The sequence below is a fragment of the Homo sapiens genome, chromosome 12 (assembly GCF_000001405.40).
Source record: "Homo sapiens chromosome 12, GRCh38.p14 Primary Assembly".
Classification (NCBI taxonomy): domain Eukaryota; kingdom Metazoa; phylum Chordata; class Mammalia; order Primates; family Hominidae; genus Homo; species Homo sapiens.
In genome coordinates this window covers 111874311-111891003 of record NC_000012.12, presented here as the reverse complement: position 1 = coordinate 111891003, position 16693 = coordinate 111874311, and the positions used below count along the sequence as shown (strand labels likewise).

The following is a 16693-nucleotide window of genomic DNA, read 5'->3' as shown; positions in this document are numbered from 1 at the left end:
TAGTACAGTTTGCTCAACTGGAAAGACAATATTAAAATCAGTTTCAAGCCAGGCACAGAGGCTCACGCCTGTAATCCCAGCACTTTGGGAGGCTGAGGCAGGTGGATCACTTGAGGCCAGGAGTTCAAGACCAGCCTGGCCAACATGGTGAAACCCCATCTCTACTAAAAATACAAAAATTAGCTGGGCATGGTGGCACTTGCCTGTAGTCCCAGCTATTTGGGAGGCTGAGGCAGGAGAATCACTTGAACCCGGAAGGCAGAGGTTGCAATGAGCAAAGATTGCGCCACTGCACTCCAGCCTGAGGGACAGAGTGAAACTCCGCCTCAAGAAAAACAAGGCAGTTCAAGAAATTCATCTCTACCTTATTTGCTTCGGGAAAAAAACTTAACCAGCAGTAGATTTGGCAAACTTTCTCCTCTTTCGTGAAACAGCTCTTCTCTAAGCCAAGCAGATCAGCGGGATCAGCAGGGTGGACTCGCTGGCACTTTGTCCTCTTTCTCCCCTTCAGCATCTGTTGCTTCTTAATGACCTGGTGAATAGTCCTGGTATCTGAGAGGAGTTCTGAAATTTGGGGGTTTTTTTTACCCAAGTGGTGTGTGATGGGGGCTTTCTAGTGTTGAATCTGCAATACACAATTCACTTGAACTCCGGAAAATAAGTGAAAGGGCCAGATATCCAGGTATGCCTGGGCAGTTAATGTAGAGCTAACCCCCATTCCACAATGCTCCACTCACTCTCCAGCCAGCCTCACTTCACTTCAAAACAGCCGCAGCTCAGGCCCCAAAGAGATCCTATATGTTCTAAACATAATCACTTGTCTGCATTCCTGGGGAAGGGAGTTGATGAAGGCTCCTACCATTCCAGCTGAAGCTCTGCAGAGTATCTCTTAGGAGTTTGCATTCCCGGTTATACTTCCAAGCCTCCTGCATTACTTCATTCAGTTTCTCATCTTCATTCTCTCCTATTGGTAAGGATGAAGAGGAATTTGCATTTTTCCTGCAGCATCATGGGGTTTTAGTGTGAGAGATGGAGGGACGTGATGTCCAACTGGTTGAAAAATGTTGACTGAATGTGCAAAACTTCACCAGACAAGGGCTTTACTGCTAGTCCCTACATTATGTAGACCGCATCTGGTATGTGGACTCTTTTTTACTCTGACATCTTTATACAAATCCACTGATGGCCCCAGAGTCTTAGCACCAGGGGATGGGAAATAGGCTGTGGCAGACTCTATTGCTGAACAAAAGACACCTGGTCAACCAAAGACCAAAAAGTGGGAGAGTGGGCTACTTTCTCTCCCCTAAGCTCATTTCTTACTTTAGAAAGCTATCTGAGGTACACTACATGAGTTCTCTTAAAACCCAAGGAATCTAGGGAGATAGATAGGTCAACCCAACTGTTTTCTGGCCTAGTACGTGAAGCATCTCATTTATCTGCTGAGAATAGCCCCTCACCCGCCGATGAGTGGAGAGAGAACATAACGAAAGAAAGCTCTCACTCCAAAGGACCCACGTGTAAGTCACTCTGCCCATGACATGAGTAGCAGCAGGAGCCACTTCTGAACTAAGGAGGTATTCTCTTATTTATGAGCTAATGGCAGCCTTGCACTCTAAAGGCTCTGGAAATGGTTAACAGCCTGCAATGAGATTCAGACCCTACCCACATTTTCCATTCTCCATCCCCCAACCTGTGCCCTTGTTGTCAAACTAAGAAAACACAAAATTGCATGCTTGCACCTGACACTGCCAATTAAGTCTAAACTAGAAATTCCACAGAAACAAAGGAGGGGCAGAACTTAACTGCATTTCTAAGCTCCCACTGTCCAATCTTTTTAGTGGGCATAGACTACCTTATATAATGTACTTTTCTTATAACACAAGATGAAACAGACAACCCAAAATTAAACCATTCCTTTTGCCATGTGCATGCATACACCCACCCACCCCTGCACACACACACTCACAGACACACAGAGGATTAGTAAATGGTGTGACCTTTACCAGCCTGGGGGAGAATACACTGAGCAATCACATCTCGGAGTTTTTCCAAGGCAACATTGGAATCCTCGGCTCCATTCTCATGGTCGTGGATATAGACACTGTCCTTTGGCTTGGTGCTTTAAGAGTTTGAGGGAGGGGTAATGACAACGTGAGACCCCAAAAACCAACTCTGGACAGATATTACCTCTAAACATAAGGCAACAGATGTATCAGAAAAATAACAATAGTGTCCAACTCCTGATACTATTTAAAGAACTTATCCTCTCCACCCTCTTCAGAGGCTAAAGACCCCTAGCTGAGCAAGTTAAATTTCTTAAATTTCAGAACCCAGTACTCAGCCATTCCAGCCATGAAGAAGAATCGAAGAAATAAGCTCAGTTACCCAAGTAACTTCCTCTTCCGCAGAATGGGGTTGTTCACTGAGTGCAGGGGTTTGAGGCTGACTTTCAGATCCTGGATTCTCATGTTGGCCAACTGTTCCGCGTGAGCCTGCTGGATTCCTGCAACCACTGCCTGAATGCAAACACTGCCGTCAGTTTTTCATATTCATTGCTGGGCACCTAAAAAGCCAGTCTAAGAAAGTGGAAAGGAAAAGCTCAAAGTACTAAGAAGGTAATTTCACTCTTATGCTGAAGGAATATAAATATTTTGATAAGGCAAAGGACTTTTCCCCATGGATCAACAGGAACCAGGAAACACCAGGCCAACCAAAGGTCACACAACAACTAGCCCTTCTTCCCTGGTGGGGGGACAGAAATGCGAGTAAGAAATACCAGCAGGAACCCCACTCAAAGCCACTACTGAGGGGAAGTGTAAAGAGGCACATATGGACATCAGCGGAAAGGCTGGCAGGCTGCTGCCCAAGAAGCCTTACAGACGGTATTGATTCACCTCAGCCCTGACAGCTCAGAGCCCTGACCATCTCACATGGCCAAGGCTGAGGCCACATGACCGAGGCCACAACCAGTCAAGTAATTTACAGTGAGAAATAGCTGTCATGGAGTCTGGAACTCTGGAAGTTTGTGCTTTTATGAACAGTGTATAATCTCACTACGGGCAGACGAAATCATCAGAAGGCTTCATAGGAATATGATCCCATTTTTGTATTTTTTTTTCCATTTTTGTACTTTAAAAGAAGGACAGAATGTGTGTGTGTGTGTGTGTGTGTGTGTGTGTGTGTGTGTGTATCCCAGAAAACGATCAGGAAGTATACATCAAGCCATAGATTACCTCACCTCTGAGGGGTGTGACTGTGGCAGGGAATGAAAGGGAACTTTTACTTTTTAACACGGCTGTACCACCTGAATTTTCACAACAAGAATTTTTTTGAGAGAGTCTTGCTCTGTCTCCCAGGCTGGAGTGCAGTGGTGCAGTCTTGACTCACTGCAACCTCTGCCGCTGCCAGGTTCAAGCAATTCTCCTGCCTCAACCTCCAGAGTAGCTGGGATTACAGGCGCATGCCACCACGCCCAGCTAATTTTTGTATTTTCAGTAGAGATGGGGTTTCCTCATGTTGGCCAGGCTAGTCTGGAACTCTTGACCTCAAGTGATCTGCCTGCCTCAGCCTCTCAAAACTGCTGGGATTACAGGCGTAAGCCACCATGCCTGGCCTTATCTCCTCATTTTTAAGATCTTGAGTAACCTCTATGTGCTGACAACCAGGATCTAAGTAATCCCTTTGGATTTTTGAATGACCAAACCATTTCTGGACAACAGGAAGACAACCACCCACAAATCAAAGAGAAGGCAGAGAACTGTACTTTCCAGTTCTCCTTTTTCTTCCATGCTCCAGCTAAACTTAGAAAGAGACGTCTAACACTTCCACCCTACCCCTTCAAAGCTGTTAACACTCAAGTCTGTGTCACCGCTTTGAGCTCACAGCCACACTATGGTCCCACCCTATAAATCTCATTCATTTGAATGTTCCTCTGCCATCTCAAACAATATCTAAAACCTAAAAGACTCCCTCTCACCCAAACCAGCCTCCTTCCTAATCTGTCAATGTTATCACCAGATATGCCACAACTGTCCCCTTATATCTAGTCTATCACGAAAAACTGTAGAAATTTTTCTTCAAAAATATTTAGCCTGTTCATTCACCTCTACTTCTCTGCTCCCACAGCCACCTCCGACTTCTAGATTACTGCAGAAGTATTAGGCTGGCAAGTCTGCAAGTCGCCAAGTCTGACTATCTCTAAATACCTTCCTAGTGGCAAATCTCTTCTCAAAAAGCTACTATGGCCTCTCAGCTGCATCCCACTAAGACTTAAACCCCTCTGTCCACTTGCAAAGCCTGGCCCTGCCACACCCATCTCATTAACTTCCCATTAGTGAGGCCAAATTATTTTTCCCGATGATGTATTTGCATGTGTTTTTTTGCTTATGCTGTTCGCCACGCATGGGCGTTTACACTGTCTACTCAAATTCTTCAAGGACAGCGCATGTCCGAACATGAGAAAGAACTCAGATGCTGCAACACAGAAGACAGTTAATACATGTGAGGGGTTCTGCCTTCTCTTTGGGAAAATTACATCCCTTCAAAGATGTGCTCTTTTTCTGAATTCCCACAGCATTCACAGGAAAGTTAACATGCAAAGCTCTGATATTTGAAATGTTCCCTCTTTGTTTCATGTTTATTGGCCTTGCCTTCCCAGCCAGTCTTATTTAAACCCCTTGGGGAAAGGGAGGGTATCTTAAACTGTTCTGTGCCCGCAGCCCTGTAGCAGAAATATGGAGGCTATTCCTTTGAGTGCTCCCTTAGTTTATATTCACCAGGCCTTGATTTGGTCTTTTACCGAAAGAAATTCCTTATTTTGGATCCTGACTCTCAGGAAACCAGAGATGTTTCTCTGGGAAGGATCGTGTACTCTGCACTGTTTTGCCTCTAACCCCTCACTGAGCCAAGCCCCAGCATTCCTTCCCAACACAGTCTTTTCAGCCAACAAAGTAAACATCATTCAAAACCTTGTCCATCATCAGCTGAGCAGAAGGCAGCACATTATCCAGGGCCTCGGTGGAATTGAGCCAGGGGTGGTCCAGCACTCCCTCGATGGTGAGTCTCTCCTCCGGTTTGACCTTCAGGAGCCTGTGGAGAAAACGCCAACAGGGCTGCCATGCACAGTTGCTACCAAAAGGCCATAGGAAGTTCCTGGACCTGGCTCTAAACAGTTCTGGTTACTTCTGACTTCTGCAAGCCTGGGCTTTCCACCTGCAGAGCACAGATGGGATTCTAGTCTCCAACCACTTGTAGGGGTACTATGGCTTGAGGCAGTCCTTTGTATACTGGAAAAAGTGAGATTAAAATGGTAGAAAAGGGCTTAATCCAGTGATACTTTTGAGTTCTAGGGTTTAATAAGGTAATCCTACATATGGCTTATAGTTCCTCAGACCTTGAATCTCCATACTGAGGTTTCTAGGACAATGGGCTTTAACTTCCAAAAGGAACTCAGAGTGCTCTTTTTGGCTGATAGTGGCTGCAGAATTAGTTGAAGGGTCATGAGGTTCTGGAAAAGCAGGTTGCTACCCAATATAAAACTCCTAGATGTCACCATATGGCAGGACATGAGCCCATTATTCCACAGACATTCAAAAGCTAAAAACCTAGAGTCTCTGAGACAGGGATGGCATTTCCTTCTAAGCCCAGGGTGTTGCTTCTGTGCTGTCTGCCTTCAGATCATGCTTCTTTCCATCTTGTTCATTCCCACTGATGTGGTTCCTAGCTCATCTCAGCCCGTTCCCTCCTTCCAACTCCATCTCTCATTACAAATGTCAGGACAACATGCCTAACTGCTCCTTCAGCTTGTCTGCCACCTTCTTCTGGATCATTCTGAACAGATGGCTTCAGATTCTAAAGAAAGGATTATCTGGAAGATCCCAAAACCAAAAAGATAATCAGTGTTGCTCTAGGGACAGGAAATGTATTCTATAGAAAACTGGCAAAGAACTACTTACAGGACATTGAGGTTTTGGTCAAATAGCTGGGAATACAGCAAGGAAATAGCATGTCAAGACAGATGGTGATTTAATCATTGCACCCACGTTCCTAAAAACTTGTACTTGTCTATTTTAGAAAACAGTCCCTCTTTATAGCACACAGAACCTGCCCCCAACCCCCACCTTCTAATCAACAGGACAAGCTTACTTTTGAAAGGGAGTAATTTCCACGGAGAAATGGCTGTACTGTTGGGAGACAGCTCCCAGGTGTTGCCCCTAAACATGTACCTTCATCCCATTATAGAGGAAGAAACTGAGACCAACAAGGGAGACACTGCTCAGTGAAGACCCAGCAGTGGGAAGACAGGGGCAGTGCCTAAGTCCATGGGCACCCAGCCTCCCACACAGGTGGGCAGAAAAAACAAACATATTCTAATTTAGGCCTGACTTCTTACCTAGTCCTACAGCTACCAAAAGACTCTGAATATCAACTCTCCCTCATCCACTCACTAGCCCTAATTCTGACTAAATCTTCCCATCTTAAGATATGCCAGAGCAGCTGGGTGCGGTGGCTCACGCCTGTAATCCCAGCACTTGGGAAGGCCGAGGCGGGCAGATCGCTTGAGATCAGTAGTTTGAGACCAGCCTGGCCAACATGGTCAAACCCCATCTCTACTTAAAATACAAAAATGAGCTGGGCGTGTTAGCGGGCTCCTGTAATCCCAGCTACTGCCGAGGCTGAGGCAGGAGAATCACTTGAACCCAGGAGGTGGAGGTTGCAGTGAGCCAAGATTGTACCACTGCACTCCACCCTGGGCAACAGAGCGAGACTCCATCTCAAAGCAACCAACTGGCAGCGCGAAGGTGGAGGGTGGGGTCCAGGCCTGACAAACCCACATAACCACAGCATCCAAGGATGCTGTTTGTCATCTCGGCACCTAGTTCACCTCCTGGCATTGTATCTGTCCCAAATGACATGCCAGCTCACAGGTAAGAAGGACAGCACACCAGGTCTATAATTTAGGGTCTTGAATTAATGTGCAGAGACTGCCTATGGAGGGACCTGGGTTCACACCCTGGGGACAAAGTCTAGGGATGCAACAGGAGGGAGGAAAGCTTCATTCGCACCAAGGTGTGGACACTGAGAACAGTCACCTCAGGCTCCAGAGAGATTTCTGTGATATTAAAACGGGGAGGAGCCTGCCTAGGAAACCAGTGACTTTTCTCTACCCACATTCCCTTGTGCTCCACCACCTGGAGGCCTCCTTGGCCTCCATGCCCAGCAGCCCGTGAACTCACTTCCTCACAACATCTTTGGCCATCTCTGAGATCTGACTCCACTCTTCCTCTGGGAACTCAAAACTGCCTGTCATGATCTTTCTTCGCATATCCTTTGGGATAGTCCGGCTGTGGTGTTTGGAGTAAAAAGGAGGGTATCCGCACAGCATCACATAGATAATCACCCCTAGGGACCACAAGTCACAGCTCTGAAAGCAAAAAAGAAAATGGTCACTCACAGCAGAAGCAGAGCCCCCAAATAAACACCCCATGACAGGCTCAGGAATAGCCCCTGCAATATATAGGCTGATATAAACTAGAGTCACTTAACAGAGACTAGGAAAGCTGAAGGAAGTCTTAGGAGAACTAGTCTTTATCTCCATATTTTCTTTCTTTCTTTTTTTTTCTTTGAGACAGAGTCTTGCTCTGTTGCCCAGGCTGGAGTGCAGTGGCGTAATCTCAGCTCACTGCAACCTCCGCCTCCCAGGTTCAAGCAATTCCTCCTGCCTCAGCCTCCTGAGTAGCTGGGATTACAGGCATGTGCCACCATGCCGCCTGGCTAATTTTTGTATTTTTTTTTTAGTAGAGATAGGCTTTCACCATGTTGGTCAGGTTGGTCTCGAACTCCTGACCTCGTGATCTGCCCGCCTTGGCCTCCCAAAGTGCTGGGATTACAGGCGTGACTCACCACACCTGGCCTCTCTCCATATTTTCAATAAGCTGCCAATACTACATACATGCATCCCATCATACAAAGCCAGTCTGGGATAAAATGTACAGGTACTTTCATTCTCACTCTTTAGGCCCAAGCACCTATCTGATCCCTGTGTACAGGTATAGGATGCTTTGCCCCAGCCAGAAAAGAAATAAATATAAACCAGCTGGTTGTGAAACCTCTATGTAGAAACAAAGCAACTAAGAGACAGGTAGGCTCACCTACAGTACAGCACAGGCCACTTCATAAAGGCCCAAAGCAGTTTGACACAGATCATGGAGAGGACTGGAGGGAAGAACAGAAGGTCTAAATGCATTCCTTTGACCATGAAGGACTCACTAGGTCCATTTGCAAGCTCTTACACCATTCTGGGGGAAGATACTGTGAAAAAAAGAAAACTGCTACCAACTACCATGTCTGCAGGTAGTAAGGTGACTCCATGGCCTATATCACTGCATAAAGGACTCCTATTTTAGTTAAATGCAGCTCCATTTGCTTTGAAAACTGGGTTTGCAGAGGCTTCAATTCAAGCCTTTCTTGAACAGCGAGATAAAAGAGGTGCCTGCCTAAGATGGCAGCCCCGTGAGCCTGCCACTGGGGCCCCACACTCCCCCTCACACCACAGCTGTGCGGTGCTCTGCATAAAGGCTGAATAATGGGGTGTCTCAGGTACTCTCGCCTGTATTTTCTTTTTTTGAGACGGAGTCTCACTCTGTCGCCAGGTTGGAGTGCAGTGGCGCGATCTCAGCTCACTGCAACCACTGCCTCCTGGGTTCAAGCGATTCTCATGCCTCAGTCTCCCAAGCAGCTGGGACTACAGGCGCCCGCCACCACACCCGGCTAATTTTTTGTATTTTTAGTAGAGACGGGGTTTCACCACAGTGGCCAGGATGGTCTCGATCTCCTGACCTCGTGATCCGCCCACCTCGGCCTCCCAAAGTGCTGGGATTACAGGCGTGAGCCACTGCGCCAGGCCTGCCCATGTTTTCACATTATACTAGTAGATATTTGTGGATGACACAGCCCATGCTGTAGAACAGAATCACAGAATAAAATTACAGGGGTGGAAAGGGACCTTCAATCCCTCACTTTCCAGAAAGGGAACTAATACTGCAGAGATCATGTCATCTCTCAGGTCCTCTGTCAAGAGTGAAACCAAGTGACCTCACCAATGTTACACAGATTAAGAGTAGTGGAGCCACAGCAAGTGTCCCAGCCTACTGCCTTTTTACCATTCTCAGCCCCTTCTGTCATCTATATCTAGCCTCAAGTCCCCAAGTAGCATCTTTTTTCTGATCTACTTACTCAGTGACTCCAGGGCCTATTTCTAGAGGCCCTAAACCTCTTGTGCTTTAGAACAGATAGGATCGGCTGGGCACGGTGGCTCACGCCTGTAATCCCAGCTCTTTGTGAGGCCGAGGCGAGTGGATCACCTGAGGTCAGGAATTCAGGACCAACCTGGCCAACATGGTGAATCCTCATCTCTCCTAAAAATACAAAACATTAGCCAGGCGTGGTGGCAGGCGCCTGTAATCCCAGCTACTTGGGAGGCTGAGGCAAGAGAATTGCTTGAACCCGGGAGGCGGAGGTTGCAGTGAGCCGAGATTGTGCCACTGCACTCCAGCCTGGGCGACAGGGTAAGACTCTGTCTCAAAAAAAAAAAAAAAAAAAGGAACAGACAGGATCAATATGTGGGCTACAGGCTGGGTGCGGTGGCTCACGCCTGTAATCCCAGCACTTTGGGAGGCCGAGGCGGGCGGATCACTTGAGGTCAGGAGTTTGAGATCAGCTTGGCCAACATGGAGAAACCCCGACTCTACTAAAAATACAAAAATTAGCTGAGTGTGGTGGCATGCACCCATCATCTCAGCTACCTGGGAGACTGAGGCAGGAGAATCGTTTGAGCACAGGAGGTGGAGGTTGCAGTGAGCTGAGATCACACCACTGTACTCCAGCCTGGGCGACAGAGCGAGACTCTGTCTCAAAAAAACAACAAAAAAAATGTGGGCTACAGATTAAGAACCGTAATATTACCAAGTAACACTTAGGAGCCCTTGCTATGTGTATCAGATACTGTTCTAAGCTGGGTGTTTTATGGGGTAACAAAGAATGGTGCCATAAATGACCACAAAGTGTTCTCTAGCGTCTGTGTCTCAGAAATGGCCTCCACCTCAAAAACACAAGCCAACCATATGTTTTCAGTGTGGCCAGTGGACCATATGGACAGTCAAAAAAATAACCTGACTGATGATCACGGTCCCTAATTACCACTGCAAAAGCTAATTGGGTACAAACTTTATTTGATATTTCATTAAACAAAAACTTGAATTCCAAATACTTTTCTGCGAGTCTGGCTGAACCTTATCTGATATTTCATCAAACAAAAACTTGAATTCCAAATACTTTTCTGCGAGTCTGGCTGCTTCTTTGGGGCAGGAATATTAAGGGGTGAGAAAGGAATTGGCCACACTCCCAGAGGGCCACAAACACCTCACTAAAGGAGAGGGGCTGCATCTGTCAAATGAAGAGAAATATCTCTTCCTGTACCTTGTTGTAAGTGTAGGGCGTCGGTGAGGTAGGTATGATGCCAGATTTCTCCTTCTGATGCCTTCTTTGCGCCTCCAGTACCTGTCAAGAGTCAGACCAAAGGGGACCATTTAATGAAAATCACACCACCGATAACCTGCCTTGAGACAGGCTACTATGAGACTGAAGGAGGTAAACAACTGGCAATCAGCCATCGAAAAAAAACTCCACATAAACACTACACTTCCAAAAACGTTTTTTTCTTACAACCAGTAATTTATCCATCAGCCAGGGAAATACTCAGGTCAAGGACATGAAGATGAAGTTCCTAGAGGAGATTCCTCTCTTCTTCCTGCCCATCAAGGAATCTGAGATCACTGACTTTTTCCTGGGGATAGCCCTTATGCCTATGCGAAAGCAGATCTGTCCAGCAGATGAGCTTCAAGCCATCTGTTACCATCAGGGACTATGACAGTCATGTCAGTCTAGGTGTTAAGTGCTCCAAGGAGGTAGCCACTGCCACCGTGAGACCATTATCCTGGCCAACCTCTCTAATGTCCCATGAGGAGGAACTCCAGAGGGGGTCACAACATTAGCAGCCCCACACTGTTCCTTGAAAAGTCACAGGATGCTGAGGTTCTGTGCAAGGGGACTTCATCCCACACCCCGACCTACTTGATACTGTCTCAGCCCCTGTGCCCATGAAGCTGGGGCGGATGGGATACAACTGCTACCACTTAGCCAGGGGCTGCAGTGCCATCTTGGGCAACTTTGCAAAGGCCATCTTCAGTGCCACCTCTAAGACCTGCAGCTATCTCACCTAATAGAAATTCACTGACCATCTTATAAAAAACTACACTAGGCTGGGTGCGGTGGCTCACACCTGTAATCCCAGCACTTTGGGAAGCCAAGGCAGGCAGATCATGAGGTCAGGAGTTCGAGACCAGCCTGGCCAACATGGTGAAACCCCATCTCTACTAAAAATACAAAAATTAGACGGGCATGGTGGTGGGCGCCTGTAATCCCAACTACATGGGAGGCTGAGGCAGAAGAATCACTTGAACCCGGGAGGTGGAGGTTGTGGTGAGCCAAGATTGAGCCACTGCACTCTAGCCTGGGCAACAAGAGCAAAATCCCATCTCAAAAAAAAAAAAAAAAAAACCTACTCTAAAGTCTCCATGCAGAGGACCTGGGCTCTAACCACGACCACCATATAGAGCTTTTACACAAGAACAACAAAGTGAGTTAATTAAACCCGAAAATAAAACACCATTCACAACAGCAGAAAAAATATCAAGCATTAAGAATAAATCTCACAAATATGTGAGAGACCTATAAACTGACTACATAATATTGCTGAGCAAAATTATGAGACAAACATGAATGGAGTGATACAGCTTGCTCATAGGTCAGAAGACTCAATATCACTAAAATCTCAGCACTTCCACATTGAATGATAGCTCTAAAACAACCCCAGTCAAAACTCCCAGTAGGCTTTTTTATAGAAATCAACAGCTGACTGTAAAGTTCACATGGAAATGCAAGGAAGTCAGAATAGCAAAAACAACTTTGAAAATGAAGAACAAAGGTGGAGGGCCAACGCTACCTGATTTCAAGAATTATTATAAAGCTACAGTAATCAAGACAGTGTGGTATTGGGGTAAAGATAGATAAAGAGATCAATGGAATAGAATAAAGAGTCCAAAAATAAATTCACACATATATGCTCCATGATTTTTGACAAAGGCTCAAAAGCAATGCCGCAGAGAAAAGACAGCCTTTTTCATGAACGGTTGCTTCTGAGGGTGGGGCTTAAAAGATAAAAATTAAGGCGGGGCATGGTGGCTCACGTCTGTAATCCCAGCACTTTGGGAGGCCGAGGCAGGAGGATCACGAGGTCAGGAGATCGAGACTATCCTGGCTAACATGGTGAAACCCCGTCTCTACTAAAAATACAAAAAATTATCCGGGCGTAGTGGCAGGTGCCTGTAATCCCTGCTACTCGGGAGGCTGAGGCAGGAGAATGGCTTGAACCCTGGAGGCGGAGGTTGCAGTGAGCTGAGATCCGCCACTGCACTCCAACTTGGCAACAGAGTGAGACTCCGTCTCAAAATAAATAAATAAATAAATAAATAAATAATAAATAAATAGAACAACAAATGGTGCTAGAACAACTGGACATCCAAATGCTAATAAGTGAACTTGGATCCATACCTCATGCATTATATAAAAATTGACTCAACATGGATCACAGACCTAAATGTAAAACCTAACACTATATAAAACTTCTAGAAGAAAACATAGGAGACTGATCTTGGGTGAGACAAAGATTTTCAACATAGGAAACCAAAAGCACAGGCCTTAAAAAAGTTTTCTGATAAACTGGCATTCATGAAAATTAGAATTTTCTGCTCCTCAAAAGACACTGTTAAAGAATGAAAAGATAAGCCACAGACTGGGAGAAAATCTTTGCAAAGCACAGATCTAATAAAAGATTCGTATCCATCTCTTGACAACCTGGGAGAGTTTAAAAAAAAAAAAAAAAAGAGTCAGAGTCAGCTGGACGTGGTAGATCATGCCTGTAATCCCAGCAAGTTAGGAGGCTGAGGCAGGAGGATCACTTGAGCCCAGAAGTTCGAGACCAGCCTGGACAATGTGGTGAGGCCCCATCTCTTAAAAAAAAAAACCAAAAATTTCTTAATTAGCCAGATGTGGTGGCGTATGCCTATGGTCCCAGCTCCTAAGGAGGCTGAGGTGGGAGGATCGCTTGAGCCCAGGAGGTTGAGGCTACAGTGAGTCATGATTGTGCCACTGCATTCCAGCCTGGGTGGCAGAGCAAGACCCTGTCTCCAACAAAAAAAAGAAAGGAATTCATATCTGAAATATACAAAGAACTCTCAAATTCAGTAATAAGAAAATAAACAACCCAATTTTGTAAATACAGAAAAGGTCTGAACAGACACTTCCCGAAGAAAATATACAGAAGGCAGGTGCATACACAAATGTGTACACAAAAGAAAAGATGGCAGACATCATTACTCATTAGGGAATGCAAATTAAAACTACAAAGAAATACCACTACATATACACTAAAATGGCCAAAATAAAAAAGACTGACCATACCAAATGCAGGTGAAAATGCAGAAGACCTGAAACTTTCATACACTGCATTAAAAAAATAAGCAAATGGAGTCATTTGTAGGCCAGAAATATTAAAGAAAAAAAAAACAGGCTGGGCATGGTGGCTCACACCTGTAATCCCAGCACTTTGGGAGGTCAAGGCGAGTGGATCACCTGAGGTTAGGAGTTCAAGACCAACCTGAACAACATGGCGAAACCCTGTCTCTACTAAAAATACAAAAAATTAGCCGGGCGTGGTGGCACATGCCTTTAATCCCAGCTACTCGGGAGGCTGAGGAAGTAGAATCGCTTGAACCCGGGAGGTGGAGGTTGCAGTGAGCCGAGATCGTGCTACTGCACTCCAACTTGTGCCAGGAGCAAGACTCCATCTCAAAAAAAAAAATTAAAATTAAAATTAAAACCACAATGAAATTATTACCTCACACCTTTTACAGTGGCTATTAAAAAAGATAAAAGATAACAAGTGTTAACAATGATGTGGAAAAAAGGGAGCCTTTGTACACTGTAAGAATGTGTATTAGTATGACCACTATGGAAAACAGTGGGAAGCTTCCTAAAAAAATTAAAACTAGAAATACCTTATCATCCAGCAGTGCCACTATTGAGTATATATCAGAAGGGAAGAAGGGAAGGGAAAGCAGAAAGAAAAAAAAGGATGAAAGAAAAGGAAAAAAGGATGAAAATACAAAAGATCAGAACTCCAGTTCCCTGTACAGTCTAATATATATGTCATTGATTGGAAGTCTCAGAAAACAAGTAGAGGAGTAGAAAAATCGTTGAAGAGATGATGTCTGAAAAATTTCCTAATTTTTATTTGATATGGTGTTTATTTGATAAACACCATAAACCAACAGATCCCAGGAGCTCAAGAGATCCCTGGCAGGAAAAACAAAGGAACAAGAATGCATACATAATCAAATTGTTGGGACTTTTTTTTTTTAACTTTTATTTTGGGTTCAGGGGTACATGTGCTTTATGCATGTTAATTATATAGGTGAACTGCAGTGTCTTCACAGGGGTTTGGTATACAGATTATTTCATCACCCAGGTTTTATATAAGCATAATACCACATAGGTAGTTTTTTGATCCTCACCCTCCTTCCACCCAAATTGTTGGGATTTCTGTTTCTGCTAGGATATAGAAAGCTGGAAAGTGTCAAAGATAAATTATAAAATCATCCTTTTTTTTTTTTTTTTTTTTTGAGATGGAGTCTCGCTCTGTCACCAGGCTGGAGTGCAATGGCTCAATCTTTGTTCACTGCAACCTCCACCTCCTAGGTTCAAGCAATTCTCCTGCCTCAGCCTCCCGAGAAGCTGGGATTACAGGTGGCTGCCACCACACCCGACTAATATTTTGTCTTTTTAGTAGAGACGGGGTTTCACCATGTTCACCAGGCTAGTCTTGAACCCCTGACCTCAAGTGATCCACCCCCCTCAGCCTCCCAAACTGCTGGGATTACAGGGGTAAGCCACTGCGCCCGGCCCATCACTTTTTTTGAACCCATCAAAGATCAGGTCTCAGGTTAACCAATTATTCGGAAATCTTTAAGTCAGGCCCTTCCAAGGAGAGATGGGGAGTGAAAGCTGGCTCACCTATGGCAGAGCGCAGGAGGAAGTGATATCACATGCCATTTGGGTAAAAAGAATTCAGCGAGGTTTTTAACAAACTGCTAAAGGCAAAATGTGGGCTAGGATAAGAGTACAGACCCTCTAGGAGCCATACAAACAAGGAAGACTCATGCCTGCTCCCATACTCTTCTGCACAGACTTCCACCAGATATTCATGAGACTCAAGAACACAGGTCCTGCCCAACAGCAGAGAAACAGATACCTCTCGGTCCCCCATTGCCATCTCCCTTTCTGCAGGCTTGCAGGGACCAAGCAGTAACTGACAGCAATCTATTGCTAAGGGGGGGCCAAGACTGTAAAGAGAGATCCCCTCTGAGGTACAGGTGCACTAGCAAGGCCAAGACTGAGGGTAGAAGTGGAATATTTTAAAAAAATTTTTTTTAAATTTTAAAAAAAATGGCATTTCAGATCCCACCTAACCATAAGGTAACAAAACAGGAATCCCATGCCACTGAGGCACTGAAGACAACGATAGCAACAACAAAACTCACACTCAGCTCAACTTTTGAGTAGACTGATTTAACCCTCAAACCCAACACTAAAGGCCGAGCAACAGAAGAGGCATGCCCACTTTTAGGCTCTCAAAAAAGAAAAAGAAAAAAAAGAAAATCCTAATAAATCTACAAAAAATTTACTAGATTTAATAAATGAATTTAGGAAGGTCCCAAGACACAAAGTCAATATACAAAAATCACTAGTATGGGCCGGGTGCAGTGGCTCACGCCTGTAATCTCAGCACTTTGGGAGGCCAAGGTAGGCAGATCATGAGGTCAGGAGATTGAGACCATCCTGGCTAACAAGGTGAAACCCCGTCTCTACTAAAAATATGAAAAAAAATTAGCCGGGCGTGGTGGCGGGCGCCTGTAGTCCCAGCTACTCGGGAGGCTGAGGAAGGAGAATCGCTTGAACCTGGGAGGCGGAGATTGCAGTGAGCCGAGATTGCGCCACTGCACTCCAGCCTGGGCAACAGAGCAAGCCTCCATCTCAAAAAAAAAAAAAAAAAAAGTCACTAGTATGGCTGGGGGCAGTGGCTCACACCTGTAATCCCAACACTTTGGGAAGCCAAAGTGGGTGGATTACCTGAGGTCAGGAGTTCGAGACCAGCCTGGCCAACATGGTGAAACCCTGTCTCTACTAAAAATATAAAAATTAGCCAGGTGTGGTGGCGGGCGCCTGTCATCCCAGAGGCTGAGACAGGAGAATTGCTTGAACCCAGGAGGCAGAGGTTGCAGTGAGCTGAGATTGCGCCACTGCACTCCAGCCTGGGCAACAAAGAGTGCAATTCCATCTCAAAAAAAAAAAAAAAAACCCAAAACAAACAAACAAAAAACACTAGTATTTCTATAAACTAGTTAAAATTAGAAAATGAATTTTTTTTTTTTTGAGACGCAGTTTCACTCTAGTCACCCAGGCTGGAGTGCAATGGCATGATCTCGACTAACTGCAGCCTCCACCTCCCAGGTTCAAG

General features: G+C 45.3%; 1 protein-coding gene and 1 pseudogene across 11 annotated transcripts in view; one reads left to right on the top strand and one right to left on the bottom strand.

Moving 5' to 3' along the window:
• MAPKAPK5 (MAPK activated protein kinase 5) overlaps positions 1-16693 on the bottom strand; it is a 59995-nt gene that overhangs the window by 11219 nt on the left and 32083 nt on the right. For 5 of the 11 annotated variants that reach the window (NM_139078.3, NM_001371479.1, NM_001371482.1 and 2 more), the window contains 6 exons: positions 10477-10557; positions 7236-7423; positions 4968-5088; positions 2386-2516; positions 1998-2119; positions 860-964 (listed from right to left, as the gene is read on the bottom strand). In NM_139078.3, coding sequence (NP_620777.1) covers positions 860-964; positions 1998-2119; positions 2386-2516; positions 4968-5088; positions 7236-7423; positions 10477-10557 — 748 coding nt within the window. The remainder of the gene's footprint in view (positions 1-859; positions 965-1997; positions 2120-2385; positions 2517-4967; positions 5089-7235; positions 7424-10476; positions 10558-16693) is intronic. The other 6 variants (NM_003668.4, NM_001371480.1, NM_001371483.1 and 3 more) reach the window with 2 other exon arrangements.
• On the top strand, positions 10751-11324 carry RPS2P41 (ribosomal protein S2 pseudogene 41; annotated as a pseudogene).